Consider the following 13,625-nt stretch of genomic DNA (forward strand, 5'->3'; position numbering starts at 1 on the left):
ACTAGAACCATGATAGTACCACACTGTCTTGATTACTGTAGCTTTACAGTAGCTTTTAAAATCTGGAATTATGACTTTTCTGTTTATTGTCCCTAATTATATTTTCCTTTTTTTAATTTTTTTCAAACTGCATAATGTTAATTGCCCTGTTTTCTAGTTCATTGACTCTTTCTCTACCTGTTCATATCTACTGTTTACTCTCTAGTGATTTTTTATTTCAGTTACTGAACTTTTCAGCTGCAGAATTTCTACTTGGATTATTTTAATAATTTTATTTCTTTATTATTATTCTCCATTTTGTGAGATATTAGCCTCGTACTTTCCTTTAATTTTGTTTAGAAATTGTGTTGTTTAGCTCCTTGAACCCATGTAAAATCGCTGAATTCTAGTCATTGTCTAGTAAATTCATCTTATGGGCTTCCTCATAAATGGTTTATAGTTTATATTGAATGTTTTATTTTTTCCCCTGTGCATGGATCATAGTTTCTTATTTCTTTATATTTTTATTATTTCTTTTTTTTAGTAAAAACAATATTTAAATCAATACAATATGGAATCTCTGGAAATTAGATCCCCCCTCTTTAAGGGTCTGTTGTTACTACCTGTTGTAGTAGTTTAAGTGACACTTCTGAACTAATCCTGTAAAGTCTGTATCTTTGAAATGAGTAACCACTAAAGTCTTCACTTGCTTAGTTTCATGGTCACTTAATCATTGGACACAGATTTCCTCAGATACCTGGGAAAATAAGTCTCCCATTCTCTGCTGTGGGGTCCTGTTTGAGTTTAGAGCATGCCTTCAGCAGTCAGGTACTTGAAAACTCTCCTGAGTCCTCACTTCCTGGTTGCATGAAATCTCAAGGTAAGGTAGAGGTGTGAACCTAAGACCTCTAAAGGTCTTTCAGGAGAATTTGGACAGCCTAAGCATGTGTATGGCCACCTTGATTCCCAGGAATATGTTAAACATTTTCCAAGCCCTTAAGGACATCTCATTCCTTGCTTCTTTTAAGTTTTTGTTTAGTCTATTGTTTCCCCGAGCTGTTACCAATCACCAGAGAAAGCTGCGATGTTAAGACATGTGACAAATGCTTCCTTGTGGAGAAGTTTTAGTACTGAGCAATTTTGATTGAGGTCACAAAAAAGATAAGTCTTTTGAACAGGTTCTTCCAGGAAACCACCAGACAGGTTGAATAACATATTTTCATTGGGAATAAAACTTTGAAGGAGCTCTCAATCTGAAACCACTTTGCAAAAATTGTATCACTGAGAAAATTGGGGCAGTGGGAGAGATCTGATCTAGCCAACCCTCATCTTGCATTTAACCTCCAAGCTGCCCTTAACTATTTCTGGGTATAGGCCAAACTAACTTTGGGAGACACTTAGTTTACAGTTTAAATGATAGTAGCCCTTTGCCAAACCTCAAATGCATTTGTAAAACTGAGAGACCACTAGGCTAGAAGGCTACAGGAGCCTGAATTCTGCTAAGGTGTAGACATAAATAATTGTCAGCCATTATTCCAGAGGTCACAAGATACACAACTTTCTCAATTACTCCTGCAGATAACATCACTATTGTAGAACCAAAGACTGGCCTTTTGAGATATCTTTTAAGGTTTTTTGCAATGTCCGATGACCAGTGGCTCCAACTGGACCCACTGATAATGGCTCCACCTAGACCCACTGACCACTCTTGTGGCCTCACCCAGAAGTGACTCAGCTTGCAAAAGGACCATTTACCATACTCCTATGATTGCATGCCCAACCAATCAGCAGCAAGCACCCATTGCCTAGCCACCCCTACCCCTTCCTTCAAACTACTTTTGTAAAACTATAGCCCCAAATGCTCAGAGAGGTTGATTTGAGTAATAACTTTATCTCCCGCAAGGCGTGGCTGGCCTCACATCAGTTAAACTGTTTCTTTACTGCACTGCCATGGGCTCTGTGAATTGATTTTATTTGTGCAGCAGGCAGGAATAACCCATTGGGTTGTTACAGTTCTAGCCTTCTCTATCTAGTACCTGAAAGCAAGTTGTTATTTTTCAAGGTTGCCAGAGAGCTGGAAAGGGGGCAGGGGAACTGGACTGCAATAGATGAAATTTGTACAAAACTCACTGTTCTTATCAAGGTTCAGCCATCTTTACTGACAAAATTGCTTGCTGCAAGACTTTGGTCATTTTAATTTTCAGAGTTATGAAAAATGAAGTTTTATAATTTTTTCTACATTTTCATTATTTTCATTGAGGAGTGAAATTTGGATGTCTGTCCTCTGTCATTTTGGTTGACATCTGCTTACCGAAGAGTATTTTTAACCAAAAATTTTAGCAGACACAGTGATACTGCTCGGTATGTTTAAGAAAAAGTTGGAATCATGTATATTTACTGGTTAGTATATATAGCCTTATTCAAACTTACATGTGTACATTATACCACTTTGAAGACTTACAGGCAGGTATCATGTGTTCAACTATATCATTTACTTTGTAAATAACAGAAACACAACTGAAAATCATACTTCAAATGTGTTCAAAATTCTACATACTTTCATTGTTTAATAAATGCATTTATGATTCAATAAATTTGAAACATAATTAATCAGTGGTAATATATGTTCACCCAAAAAATATCACAAACATACAAAACTGTTGAGACTTCTCAATGAGGAAGGGTTGAACACTTATTTAATTGAAATCAATCAGTATGAAAAAAATTGTAAGTTGTAAAATTGTAGTACATTTCAAAAAATTGCTCTAAGATTTAATTTTTACATTTCCATGAGAAGAAATAGAGGCTATACCTGAACTGTGCTTCTTTAAAAAAGATGACTTCTATAGAAATTTTAAAAAATATTTTTATTATCTTCAGTACTGTAACTAGAAATCATTGATTCTCTTGATACAGGTCATGAAATGAATGTGTGCATTTCAAAGAAGAAATGGTTAAATAGGAAAAATAAAGAATAATGTTTAATGATATATATGGGTTAGTGGAAAATATATAAAATTATTGTTGTAAAGAGATAATTTAGATGTTTTAAAATATAGTGATGAATTTCATTGAAAAGAGGTATTGTGTCCCCTAAGGTAATGATATAAGAAACAGTAGTAAATTTTTAAAACATTTGTGGCACTTCTCTAGATTCTAACATTGTTCACATTTAGCAAGCTAGAGCTTAGTGAGCAAAAGATAAATAACAAATAATAGTAAAGAATTTATAAATTTAGAATCTGGAATTTAAATAAAAGACAACATCAGTAATAACTATTATAGCAAATGGGTATTTTGGAAATAATGTTTATAATTTGCTGAATTACTAAAATACATGTGGATTTAAAATGTTGACTGTTTATGGCTAATATCATAATATCTTGGAAAACCAGAACCTCTATGGTGTAATTTTAGGACTATCTACCAGGAAAATATTTTTTCTAAGAAATTACTCTCCAAGTTTTTTGTATTCATTCCTTAAATGTAAATCATTTTTACATCATTTTGCTATTCACATAAAGCTAGTGTGAAATTATATTTCCAATTTGAAAAGAGCAGGAAATTGAAAGTTCAGTGTCAATTAACCTCACAGATAAAATTAGTTTATCAATTTCTACAAAAAAATAGTACCCTGAGGAAATGGAGCATCGAAAAAGGCCTCTAGACTAATGGAATTTTTGGGATAATGAAAAATTCCAGAAGTAGATCTGGATTTTGTGTGAAGGGACAATGACTGCCACCTGTGGCTGCATGAATCACCTGTGTGTCTTTGTGGTGTGCCAAAATATAGGAGGATGATGGCAAGAATAGAGGGAAGATGATCTTACAGCTTGATTGGCTCTACTCTTTTGACCTATTTGTTCAAATTACTGTGTTCTGGTTACTTCATTTTTGAAAAATATCTAGGGACTGTGAGATGCTGCGGTGATAACAGATTTAAGCAATATCTGTGGGAGGCCAAACTCTGCCATACATAGTCTCTGAGAACATTCATTATTTCTTTCAACTCCAAAGTCAAATTCTTCTTTGGTAAATTGAGGATGTTTATTTCCGTGATCCCTTTCTAATCTTGGATTCCAGATGAAATCATTATCACTCCCAAAATTCTTGCTTAAAAACACTAGGCTATAAAAGAACTTCAGAGAAAATTTTATCTTAAATTTGACAATAAGGAAAAAATGGGTAAACTATTTTTCCGATGTCACATAAGGGTAAAAGACTGTGTAGAGGAATATTTATTTTAATTCTAATTACTATATACCATGGGTTAAAGTTCTGAGACTTAGTGAAGCTATATGTTAACTTGTAGGCTTTTGGAGAAAAGTAGATTTTGTACAGATGCAAATAATTTTTGTCTGAAGGAAAAAATAAGCCCCCAAATATATGCTTTATGATGCCTTTGGATATTACCTAGCTTTGTAACTAGGCTAGTAGGTTTATCCTACTAATGCCCCAAAACAATCAGTTTTTAAAATGTTTTTGAGTCTATTTTACTATCCTACTGGCTTCTTTATTAATTTCAATAAAATATTTGGCAAATATATTTATATTTATATGAGACATATTTTAAAATACTTTAGAAATATATTTTTTAAATTTCTTTTCAATTATAACGACTATCTTCAGAGAAAAATGATATTCTCTCTCTCTCCCCAAACTTCCTATTATTACAGACATTATTCATAATAGGTAGATATTATATATTAGCTTTAATAAATTAGAATATAATATTGGAGCATATACTCTTCTAAGTGGCCTGTGTTAAGATAATTTTGTTTAAGTAGAGATGACAGAGATTCTGCTTGCAAAAATATGGTAGAGAAGCACCATTAAGGTCAAATATGTTGATATATCACTAACATATTGAGAATGTAGGGAAAACATTTGAATTTTTCTGTTCATGTTTTTTTCCCATTACAGATATATCATTTTTTCTTAGGCACTTCTGAAAATATAAGTCATTATGACCACATCTAGACTTATTACACAGCATATTTAGAAGCGAGACCATGTAGTATGTCCTTTTTTGAAAAGCATCACATTTGATTAAGATCTAAAAGCTAGCTGGGAGCAGTGGCTTCCACCTGTAGTCTACCGTACTTTGGGAGGCTAAGATGGGCAGATTGCTTGGGCCCAGCTACTGTAGACCAGGCTGGGCAACATGGAGAAACAGTGTCTCCACAAAAAACTACAAAAATTAGCGGGGTGTGATGGCATGCACCTGTAGTCCCAGCTACTCGAGAGGCTGAGATGGATCACTTGAGCCCTGGAGATCCAGTGAGCCACAATCATGCTGCACTTCAGCCAGCACAACAGAGTGAGACACTGTAACAACAACAACAACAAGAACAAATCTAAAAGTTGCTTTCGAATTATAGCTCTAGTTTCACAACAGAGAGCTTTTAAGTAATGATTTCTAATAATTATGCTCAGATTATAAATAGTAGAGGTAAACAAATAATTGAGAATATGTATAGTAAATTCTCTTTCCAGAGGTAAATTTTGATATATATTACAAAGTATACAGAAGTTTTAATGTAATATTTTTGTTCATATTAAACTCAAGTATGTAGATATTCTGTTTTGTATTTTAGAGTTAGAAAAAGAGAAAAAAATCTGCCAGTTTCAAAGGATGACTTTTTAATGACTTTTTTGGTAATCATAAAGAATTCATATAGGCCAGTATTAAGCCAGTCTCAGAAAAGAAATCAAAGCCCTGAAAAATTAAATTTTTAGCTTTGATAGAGACATTAGAGGACAATGTGGCAGTGGAAACTGTGACACTTCAGAAGCATGTTGGAAACATCACTTGACTCTAGTCTGAGTAGCGAAAGGGCAATCATGAGAAGTCAGCGGGGTGCAAAGAGAAAAGGTCTAGAACATGGTCATCAGGGGGCTAGTTTCTTAGAGAGCTAGTGGCAGACTAATCCAAATGTTTTGAATTCATTTACATTTTTCTTGATGCCATCTTAATAACATCTACAAAACTTGACAATTCCATTGCTGCAGTAAATTACCGTAAGTATTCAGATACAGCGGGACAGCAAGAAAAACAAAAAATTAAAGTAAAATAAAATCTATGCCAGAATGAATACTATCTAATGGTTGAGGTTGTCCCACCAGCTTTAAGTACCTGAAATGACCTGAAGAAACTCGTGCCCAGTTGTGGTGAGGTTTAACTGATCCAAAAACCTGATGAAATGTTAATTATTAAATATACAATGTCTGTGGTTCCCTTGGTCTTCACTTTAATGTAGAGACCCAATGTTTACTTTTCAGAGCAATCAGAACATCTTATCCACAGTGCTCCTAAACTCCCAGATATATTTTTCCACATTTAGTAACATTAGAAATACATATAACATAGTTACAGTATGACTGTACTGTAAGAGTGAGTGTGTGAATATATTTGTGAATGTGTGTACATATGGGAGAGGAAGTATATGAGTGTGAATTAGGTACATTTGAGAGTATGAGGGTGAATGAGGCTGTGTGTGCATGTATGTATATGTGTGTCTGTCTATGTGTGCCATTGTGATTATGTGTGATTGTATATGCGTGTGTGTTTGCTGGGGTGAGTGGTAACAGGTGATAATTTTATATTTTACTGTCTGTATAACTGAATCACTATTTAAAGTGATTTATTCTGAAAGGCCTCATAAAACAATGTTGTCTTAGAATGTGTGGGGGTGTACCTGTGTGTTTAAATGCATCTCATCTATTAAAAAGACAAGTTAAATAGGTTACAATGGTAGTCGTAATTTTTTTTCCTAATCTAGCAAGGTTAAACTAATGTAATATCTCATAGAGCAGTGTGCACTGAAAAGGGTATTGCAGAGCTGTATGTTGTTCCATTGTGGATCTCATACAGAGGTTTTGTTTCCATCTAAGTAATCAGACATCAAAGCCAAGGGAAACATAAAATAAAAAAGATTTTTAATGTACTGAATCAATATAGGTCTTGTCTCAGGGGAAAATTAGAGTCATTTACTTGCTATGGTGTAAGAGAGAAGAGGCATACAATTTATTTTCTTGCTTTCTCAATTTAGCATACATAAAAAACAAAGTAGCAGATCTTCGAAATATCATCCTTTCTCATAATATTATTCTGCAAAATTATACTAATGGAGTGATCCATGAAGAAAAGTCATAATCAGAAGCACACAGGAAAGAATAGTAGTTTTCATATAGTGCTCACTATCTTTAAAGTATTTCACTTATATTCTTATTTAATTTTCATAGCCACAGTAGGAAATAAGGCCTCTATTGTTATCCTGATTTTTAAATTAGGAGATTGAGTCATTAGTAGGGTATCAAGTAGCTTGCCCAGGGTTTCATACTTCTATTAAGCGGTGGATCCGGAATTCAAATCTAATCAGTCTGGCTTCAAGTAACCACTCTGCTATGACTCCTTATATTATTCTCATTAATTTTATCACTGGAATGGTTTTCTTATTTTCTGTAAAAATTAACTTTAACTTTGTTTAAGCCTGAATTTCTAGTTTTTTATATTTATTTTTTTTTACTTTTACGAGGGTAACATGTATTAACATTGTTTAGAACAAGTGTTCATTAGAACATAATTTATAAGTCCCTGTTCTAACAGTTTGTGAAGTTTTCAGCCTATTTTTATTCCCACTAATTAATACTGTATTGGGAAATGTATTCTGAGATAGAGATTTATATGAAAGAGGTTTATGGTGAGAGAAAAGTGGGATTAAGATGAGAGACCCTGAACTGGAATTGAGTTGCAGCAGAAGGCCTCAGCTCATGGCAGCATATGGTTGGGCTTTGCTGTTTGTCCAGTCTGACAGTCTTGGGTGGTGGTGGCTGTATGTGTGTGTTTAGTTTATTTATATTCCATATGATTAGCTCTATGTTTGGGTTAACATGTCCTATCTTGCTAAATTGTTTCTAGTTGTTCATCTGGCTTGATTGTTATCCCCTTCTATTTTTATGCTTGGTTTGGATATTTTATATGATTCCATATTATCTCTATGATTAGCTTAAGACTTACACCTCTTTCACTGATGTTTAGTGATTGCACTAAGGTTGAAACATACAACTTTAATTAATCACAGTTCACCTTCAAGTAATATTAATACCACTTCATTAGTAGTGTTAAAAAAAACAGTATACACTTAAGTACTCCATCCTGTGTATTGTACTATTGATTTTATATATTTCACTTTTGAATATGCTATTAATCCAAAGTAGTAAAAATCCAACAGTATTTTTTTGATTTAGATAATCATTTATTTCTTAATACAGTTAAAATAGAAATAATCTTTTATAATTTACCTTTACTTTAACCATTTTCATGGATCTTATTTCTTGGTGTTGATGTAGTCTTCTCTATCTTACTACACTATTTTTGCTTTAAAAATTTCTTTTTTCTTCACGAGAGCTCCTCATATTCTATACTTTTTATTGTGTATACTTAAGATTTAAAACTTGATAATTATATATAACTAAAAATTATATATATATATATAACTAAAAATAATCACGACAATCCAGCTTATTATCTTATCCATCACCTCACATAATTACTTTTTTATTTTGGTGAAAACACATAGGATCTACCCTTTAGCAAATTTAAAGCATATAATACAGTACTGTTACCACTAATCATCATGCTGTATATTAGATATATGGAGCTTATTTATCTTTCATAACTGAAATGTAGGTCTGCAGGTAATGAATTCAATGCCTTTCTTTGCTTTAATATTTTTATTCCTTCTTTATTTTTTAAATTAACTTTTGCTGGTTAAACATTTTCTTCTTTTAGACACTAAAGGTGTTACTCCATTGTCTTGTGGAATATCATAAATTCTGATGAGAATTTTATTTTTCTTATCTTTCTTTCTCTGTATGTAACAAGTTCTTTTTCCCCCGCTCAATTTGATTTCAAGGTTTTTTTTAACTTTGGTTTTCATCAGTTTGAATACAATGTCTAGATATGTGTGTATGTGTTTCTTATTTATTTGTTTGTTTGTTCTTAAATATGTGGTGTTGGGTTTTTTTTTTTACTGTTTATAAAAATGTTTCATCCATTATGTTTTCATATGTTTTCTTCTTCCCTCTTCTTGGTGTCTTTTCCTTCTGGGATTTTAATTAGAGTTATGTTATACCATTTGCTATTGGTCCACTCTTCTCGGATGCTTATTTTATTATTGTTCTTTACCTCTATACTTTTGTAATCATTTATTTGACTTTGTAAAATTTCTGTTGACCTATCTTCAAGTTCACTGATGCTCTTTCTGACTTCAACTAGTCCACCGATGAGCTCCTTAAAGGCATTCTTCATCTGTGACTGTCTGTGTTTTCTTTTAACACTGTATTATTTCTATTCTTTTACATAATTTGTCCATTAAACTTACCAGTTGATAAACATATGCTGATCTCTTTTTCCATTAGAGCCTTTAGCATATTTAACATAGCCACTTAATTGTCTCTTCCTTATAGAGTCACATTGGGATAGTCTCTGAATGTTGTTGTTAATCATCTCACCTCTTGACAAAAAGTTGTTTTATTCTGGCCTGTTCGAGTTTGAATTTCTTAATTGATTTCTGAACATAGTATGTAGAATATTAGAAGCTGAGATATATAAAGAATATGCCTTGAAATAGTATCTGTCTTTGCTTGGATGCAAGTGGGGGGGTTAGATGAATGCTGTCAAGAGTTGAGCTAGGTTGGGACTTTATTGTTGTTATGGTTACCTTCAGTGTAGGCTTCACATTCTTCTGGCATTACCTTAGTTAAGGTTGGTATACTGGAGGGTTTTTCTTAATATTTCTTCTCTGCCATCAGCAGCTTCAGACTTTTCCTCTATATCTGCCCTAAAAGAGAGCCTCTCTCCATCCGCTTGCCTGTCGCTCAGCGGTAGACTACTGTGTCTTGCCACCTGCTGTTGCTTGCCTGCTGACTGTCCACGGTGGGGATTTCTCATTCATCTTACCCCTCACCCAGTTGTAGCAGATTGTAATGGGTTAAACACAGGACAGTTTTATGCAAATGGCATTTTTTTTTTTTTGCTAACTCCCCACCACCTCCAGCTGCAGTGTGTTTTCCTCTTACCCAGGAGGATGAACAGATTTGCTGCCTAATATTTTTTTTAGTGAGAATTATTATTCATTAATTATAAAATGTCAAAGAACTTCTGGTTCTTTCCTATGTAAAATAAACATAGGAGAATAAGCCAGTTTTTTTTTTTCTACCTAATGCTCTTTCTATCTTCCTGCTTCTTGGAGTACAATTGCTTATTAGTATTAAATATATTGATGTTAATGTAAGTATGCTGTTTTTTCCTTAACTATCTACTCATAAATTTGACATTCTGCCATACTAGTTATTTAAGGATATGCACAATATTTATTTCATCAGTTCTTGTACTAACCACCAAATTTTCTTTTTTACAGTGAATTTTGTATTCATATTAATCTTCACTTCTTTCTTTTCCTTTTGGGGTCATTTTTAATTTTACTTCTCTCTTTCTTCATTGAACATTTATTTTTGCTTACTATAAGCCAAACTGAGCACTATGTTATTTATCTCTTTGAAAAAGTATTTTACACCCTTGCTTTACTTTCATTCTTCTGCAAATGTTGCTGCATTTTTTATTTTTAAAATTTAAGGATGTGGATCTAAAATTTGCTTTTTATAATTTTGTAAATAATTTTTGCCTGAGCAACATAAACTTCTTTTATCCTTAACACTAAAAATGCTATTCCTCAAAGTTATTTTCTTTCCCTCAATTTTGAATGAATGGTTACTTTTATATCTGCAATGTTATATTGCTTCTAATTTTAGTAAAGTTTTATACTTTTAAAATATTTTTAAATAAAGTCCTTGTGAATTTATCCTGTAGTCTTTACTGAACATTAATTATCCACATTTCAGATCCGTATGTCCTGTCAACTGTACCAATTTTTCTAATTTCTATTTTTGCTTCTGTATCCTGGAGAGATTTATTTCAAAGGCCTTCATCAATGATTACATTTCTTCAGTGTTAATTCTGCCTTTATGGTATCTAATGCAGATTTTATTCTTATTGTTTCACTTTTAAGGCCCACAAATGATTTATTTCACTCTCTTAAACTCCATCTGTATTTTGGTCTGGTAATAAGTTATTTAATCTTTCAAGATTTTGATTCCCAAATTCCATATATTTTTAAATGTGAATAGGATTCAAAGAAGGCTCTATCTAAATATATATATATATTTATATATATAGCTATATTTATATATATAGCTATATTTATATATATATAGCTATTCTATTATATACTTTTCAAAAAGTTTTATGCTCCTATTTCTACACATTTTATACACTTTTTAGGAAGGATCATTTGCTCTCCTTTTATTCACTGTTGAAAGAAGAGAGATCAATCCAACCCTAACATTTACTGGAAAAGTATAGATTTTTCTAAAACACTAGAACTATCCAATTGGTTTTCATTAGCATCATCCTCTAAAATACTAAGGAGGAAGAGTTTGGTAAATGTAAATTTTGAAAGCCAGTTCAATTATGCAGAACTCAGAGCAAGTTGACAGTCACCCAGAGCCCTAGGAAGTCATTTAAATAAATTTCATATTCATATAATGTATTCTCTGTTTGGTGAGAATGCTGTGCCAGAGGCCATGTTTTCTGTGAACCAATTTCAGTTTCGTCCAATTACTATCCCAATTACCCTCTTCCACCTTTTTATAGCATCATATTTTGGAAGAAGCCATGTTTCATCAAGAAGCCCTTGTCCAATAGCATGGTTTTGCTTGGGGGTGCTGATGTGAATAGCCAAAAGCCTCGTAACTTAACTACCATGAGTCACTGTTGTGAAAGAGATACTACTGAGAATCGTTCTATTTGTTCTTTGTGCATCAAATCTGGATGTATGTTTGGTGTTGTTACAGCATTTCCCCTGGTTGTTGCAGCATTTTTAAGGGGAAAATTTGTAAGTAAATGTGTGCTTATCTCCCTAAAGCTGGTTCTTTCTGAACTGCAGTTAACTGACTTTCTAGCAGTGATATAGGTCTTATCATTTTTATAAAATTGTATGGGTCATTAGAATACCAAGGAAGAAATATCTTGCTTAATTTACCATTATAATCATAAACACACTTTCTCAATTTAAAACTTTTACATGTTTTGGTTCTTTAGACACAACTTCTGTCATATTCTATCTTCTTTTCTACCAGCATTTATAGATATTTTGTCCCATTACTCTTTGAATGCTCTTATTTGGCCTCTTTTCCTCATCTTTCTTTCTTGAGTTTCTGCTTTTAGTTCCTACACAGCTTTCTTAGAAACGTATTGTATATAAACAGTATTTCAAATACTAAACATACATACACATTCAAATTATGCTTCTGGACCATATATCTCTTCTGAGCTCTAATGGTTTACAATCAACTGTCTCTGGGAAGTCATAATTTGCATATTCAACAGGCACCTCAAATGCAGTGTTTGAGAAAGTATTTCTCATAATTTGGGGCTCCTTTTTTTGACTTGAATAACATCACTTCAAAAATTTAAACTGGATGCTATGAAGCAATAATTATGTCCTTTCTATGTAGCTAAAAACTAACTAAATAATTTGCCTGTTAATATCTTACATCCTTATTTTTTTAACCATACTATAGCAACTATAGCCTACATGTCCTCCTGCTTCATCATATACATGTAAAGCCTGCACCAATTTTTCCTATGACTTGTAATTTTGATTTTCTAGTGCAAATATATATATATATATGTATATATAAATACAACCATGAAAATGCAAATTTCAAACAGGAATAAATATTCAGAATATTCTATTAATGCAGCCTCATGGATATAATTATTGCTGATTTTTAATAAGGTTTTTCTCCTATTATAATTTTTCTTCATTGAAATCTTATTGTATAATGCTTTTGTAATTTAATTTTCTTGTTTAAAATTATTCAGTAACTATTTTTGAAAATATTAAGACTTGTAAAAAGAGTCAATTTTCTAATAACACATTTTGCATAAGACTGTTACAACTATAAAATTTATTGGCATTATGTGTATGTATTCATCTTTTCCATTGGGCTTTGATGCTCCTGAAATAAGAAATTGTGTATTAGTCATTAATTTTTTTTTCCTCATCCTATATTTTAGTGGCTGATCCATGGAATCTGTTCAAGATATCTTTGCTGAAAGAAAAACTGCATGGTACATCATTATGGTGAATCTTCAAAATTTCCTTAAGCATTATCAAGTTCCTGAACACTTAGCCTTTTTCCTCTGAACTATTATACTATTTATTTTTGAACTTTTCTTTTTTCTTTTAAGTAAAGTAGAGTAATTTATGGGCCTACAGGTATTATTGGTTGAACTAAAGCCATCCAGGATTGAGGGAGTCTGTCTGGGTTTTATTTTGTTTGGTTTTCAATACAGTCTGAGAAGCCAGAAAATAATAATTATTTCATTTGTCAACAATTTGCTAGTCAAATTTAAAAATTTGAAAATTAAAAAAAAATGCTATAATAGCCACTCTATATCATCCATATTAAAGCAGTATATATCATTGATACTATGAACAAACAACCTACTGAATCAGTGAAGAAGAAAGTTTAAGAAGCTAATATTGTGTTTCTGAAAATGTAAAGGCTGTCTTTCT

The sequence above is a fragment of the Homo sapiens genome, chromosome 13 (genome assembly GCF_000001405.40).
Source record: "Homo sapiens chromosome 13, GRCh38.p14 Primary Assembly".
In the NCBI taxonomy this organism is placed as follows: Eukaryota; Metazoa; Chordata; class Mammalia; order Primates; family Hominidae; genus Homo; species Homo sapiens.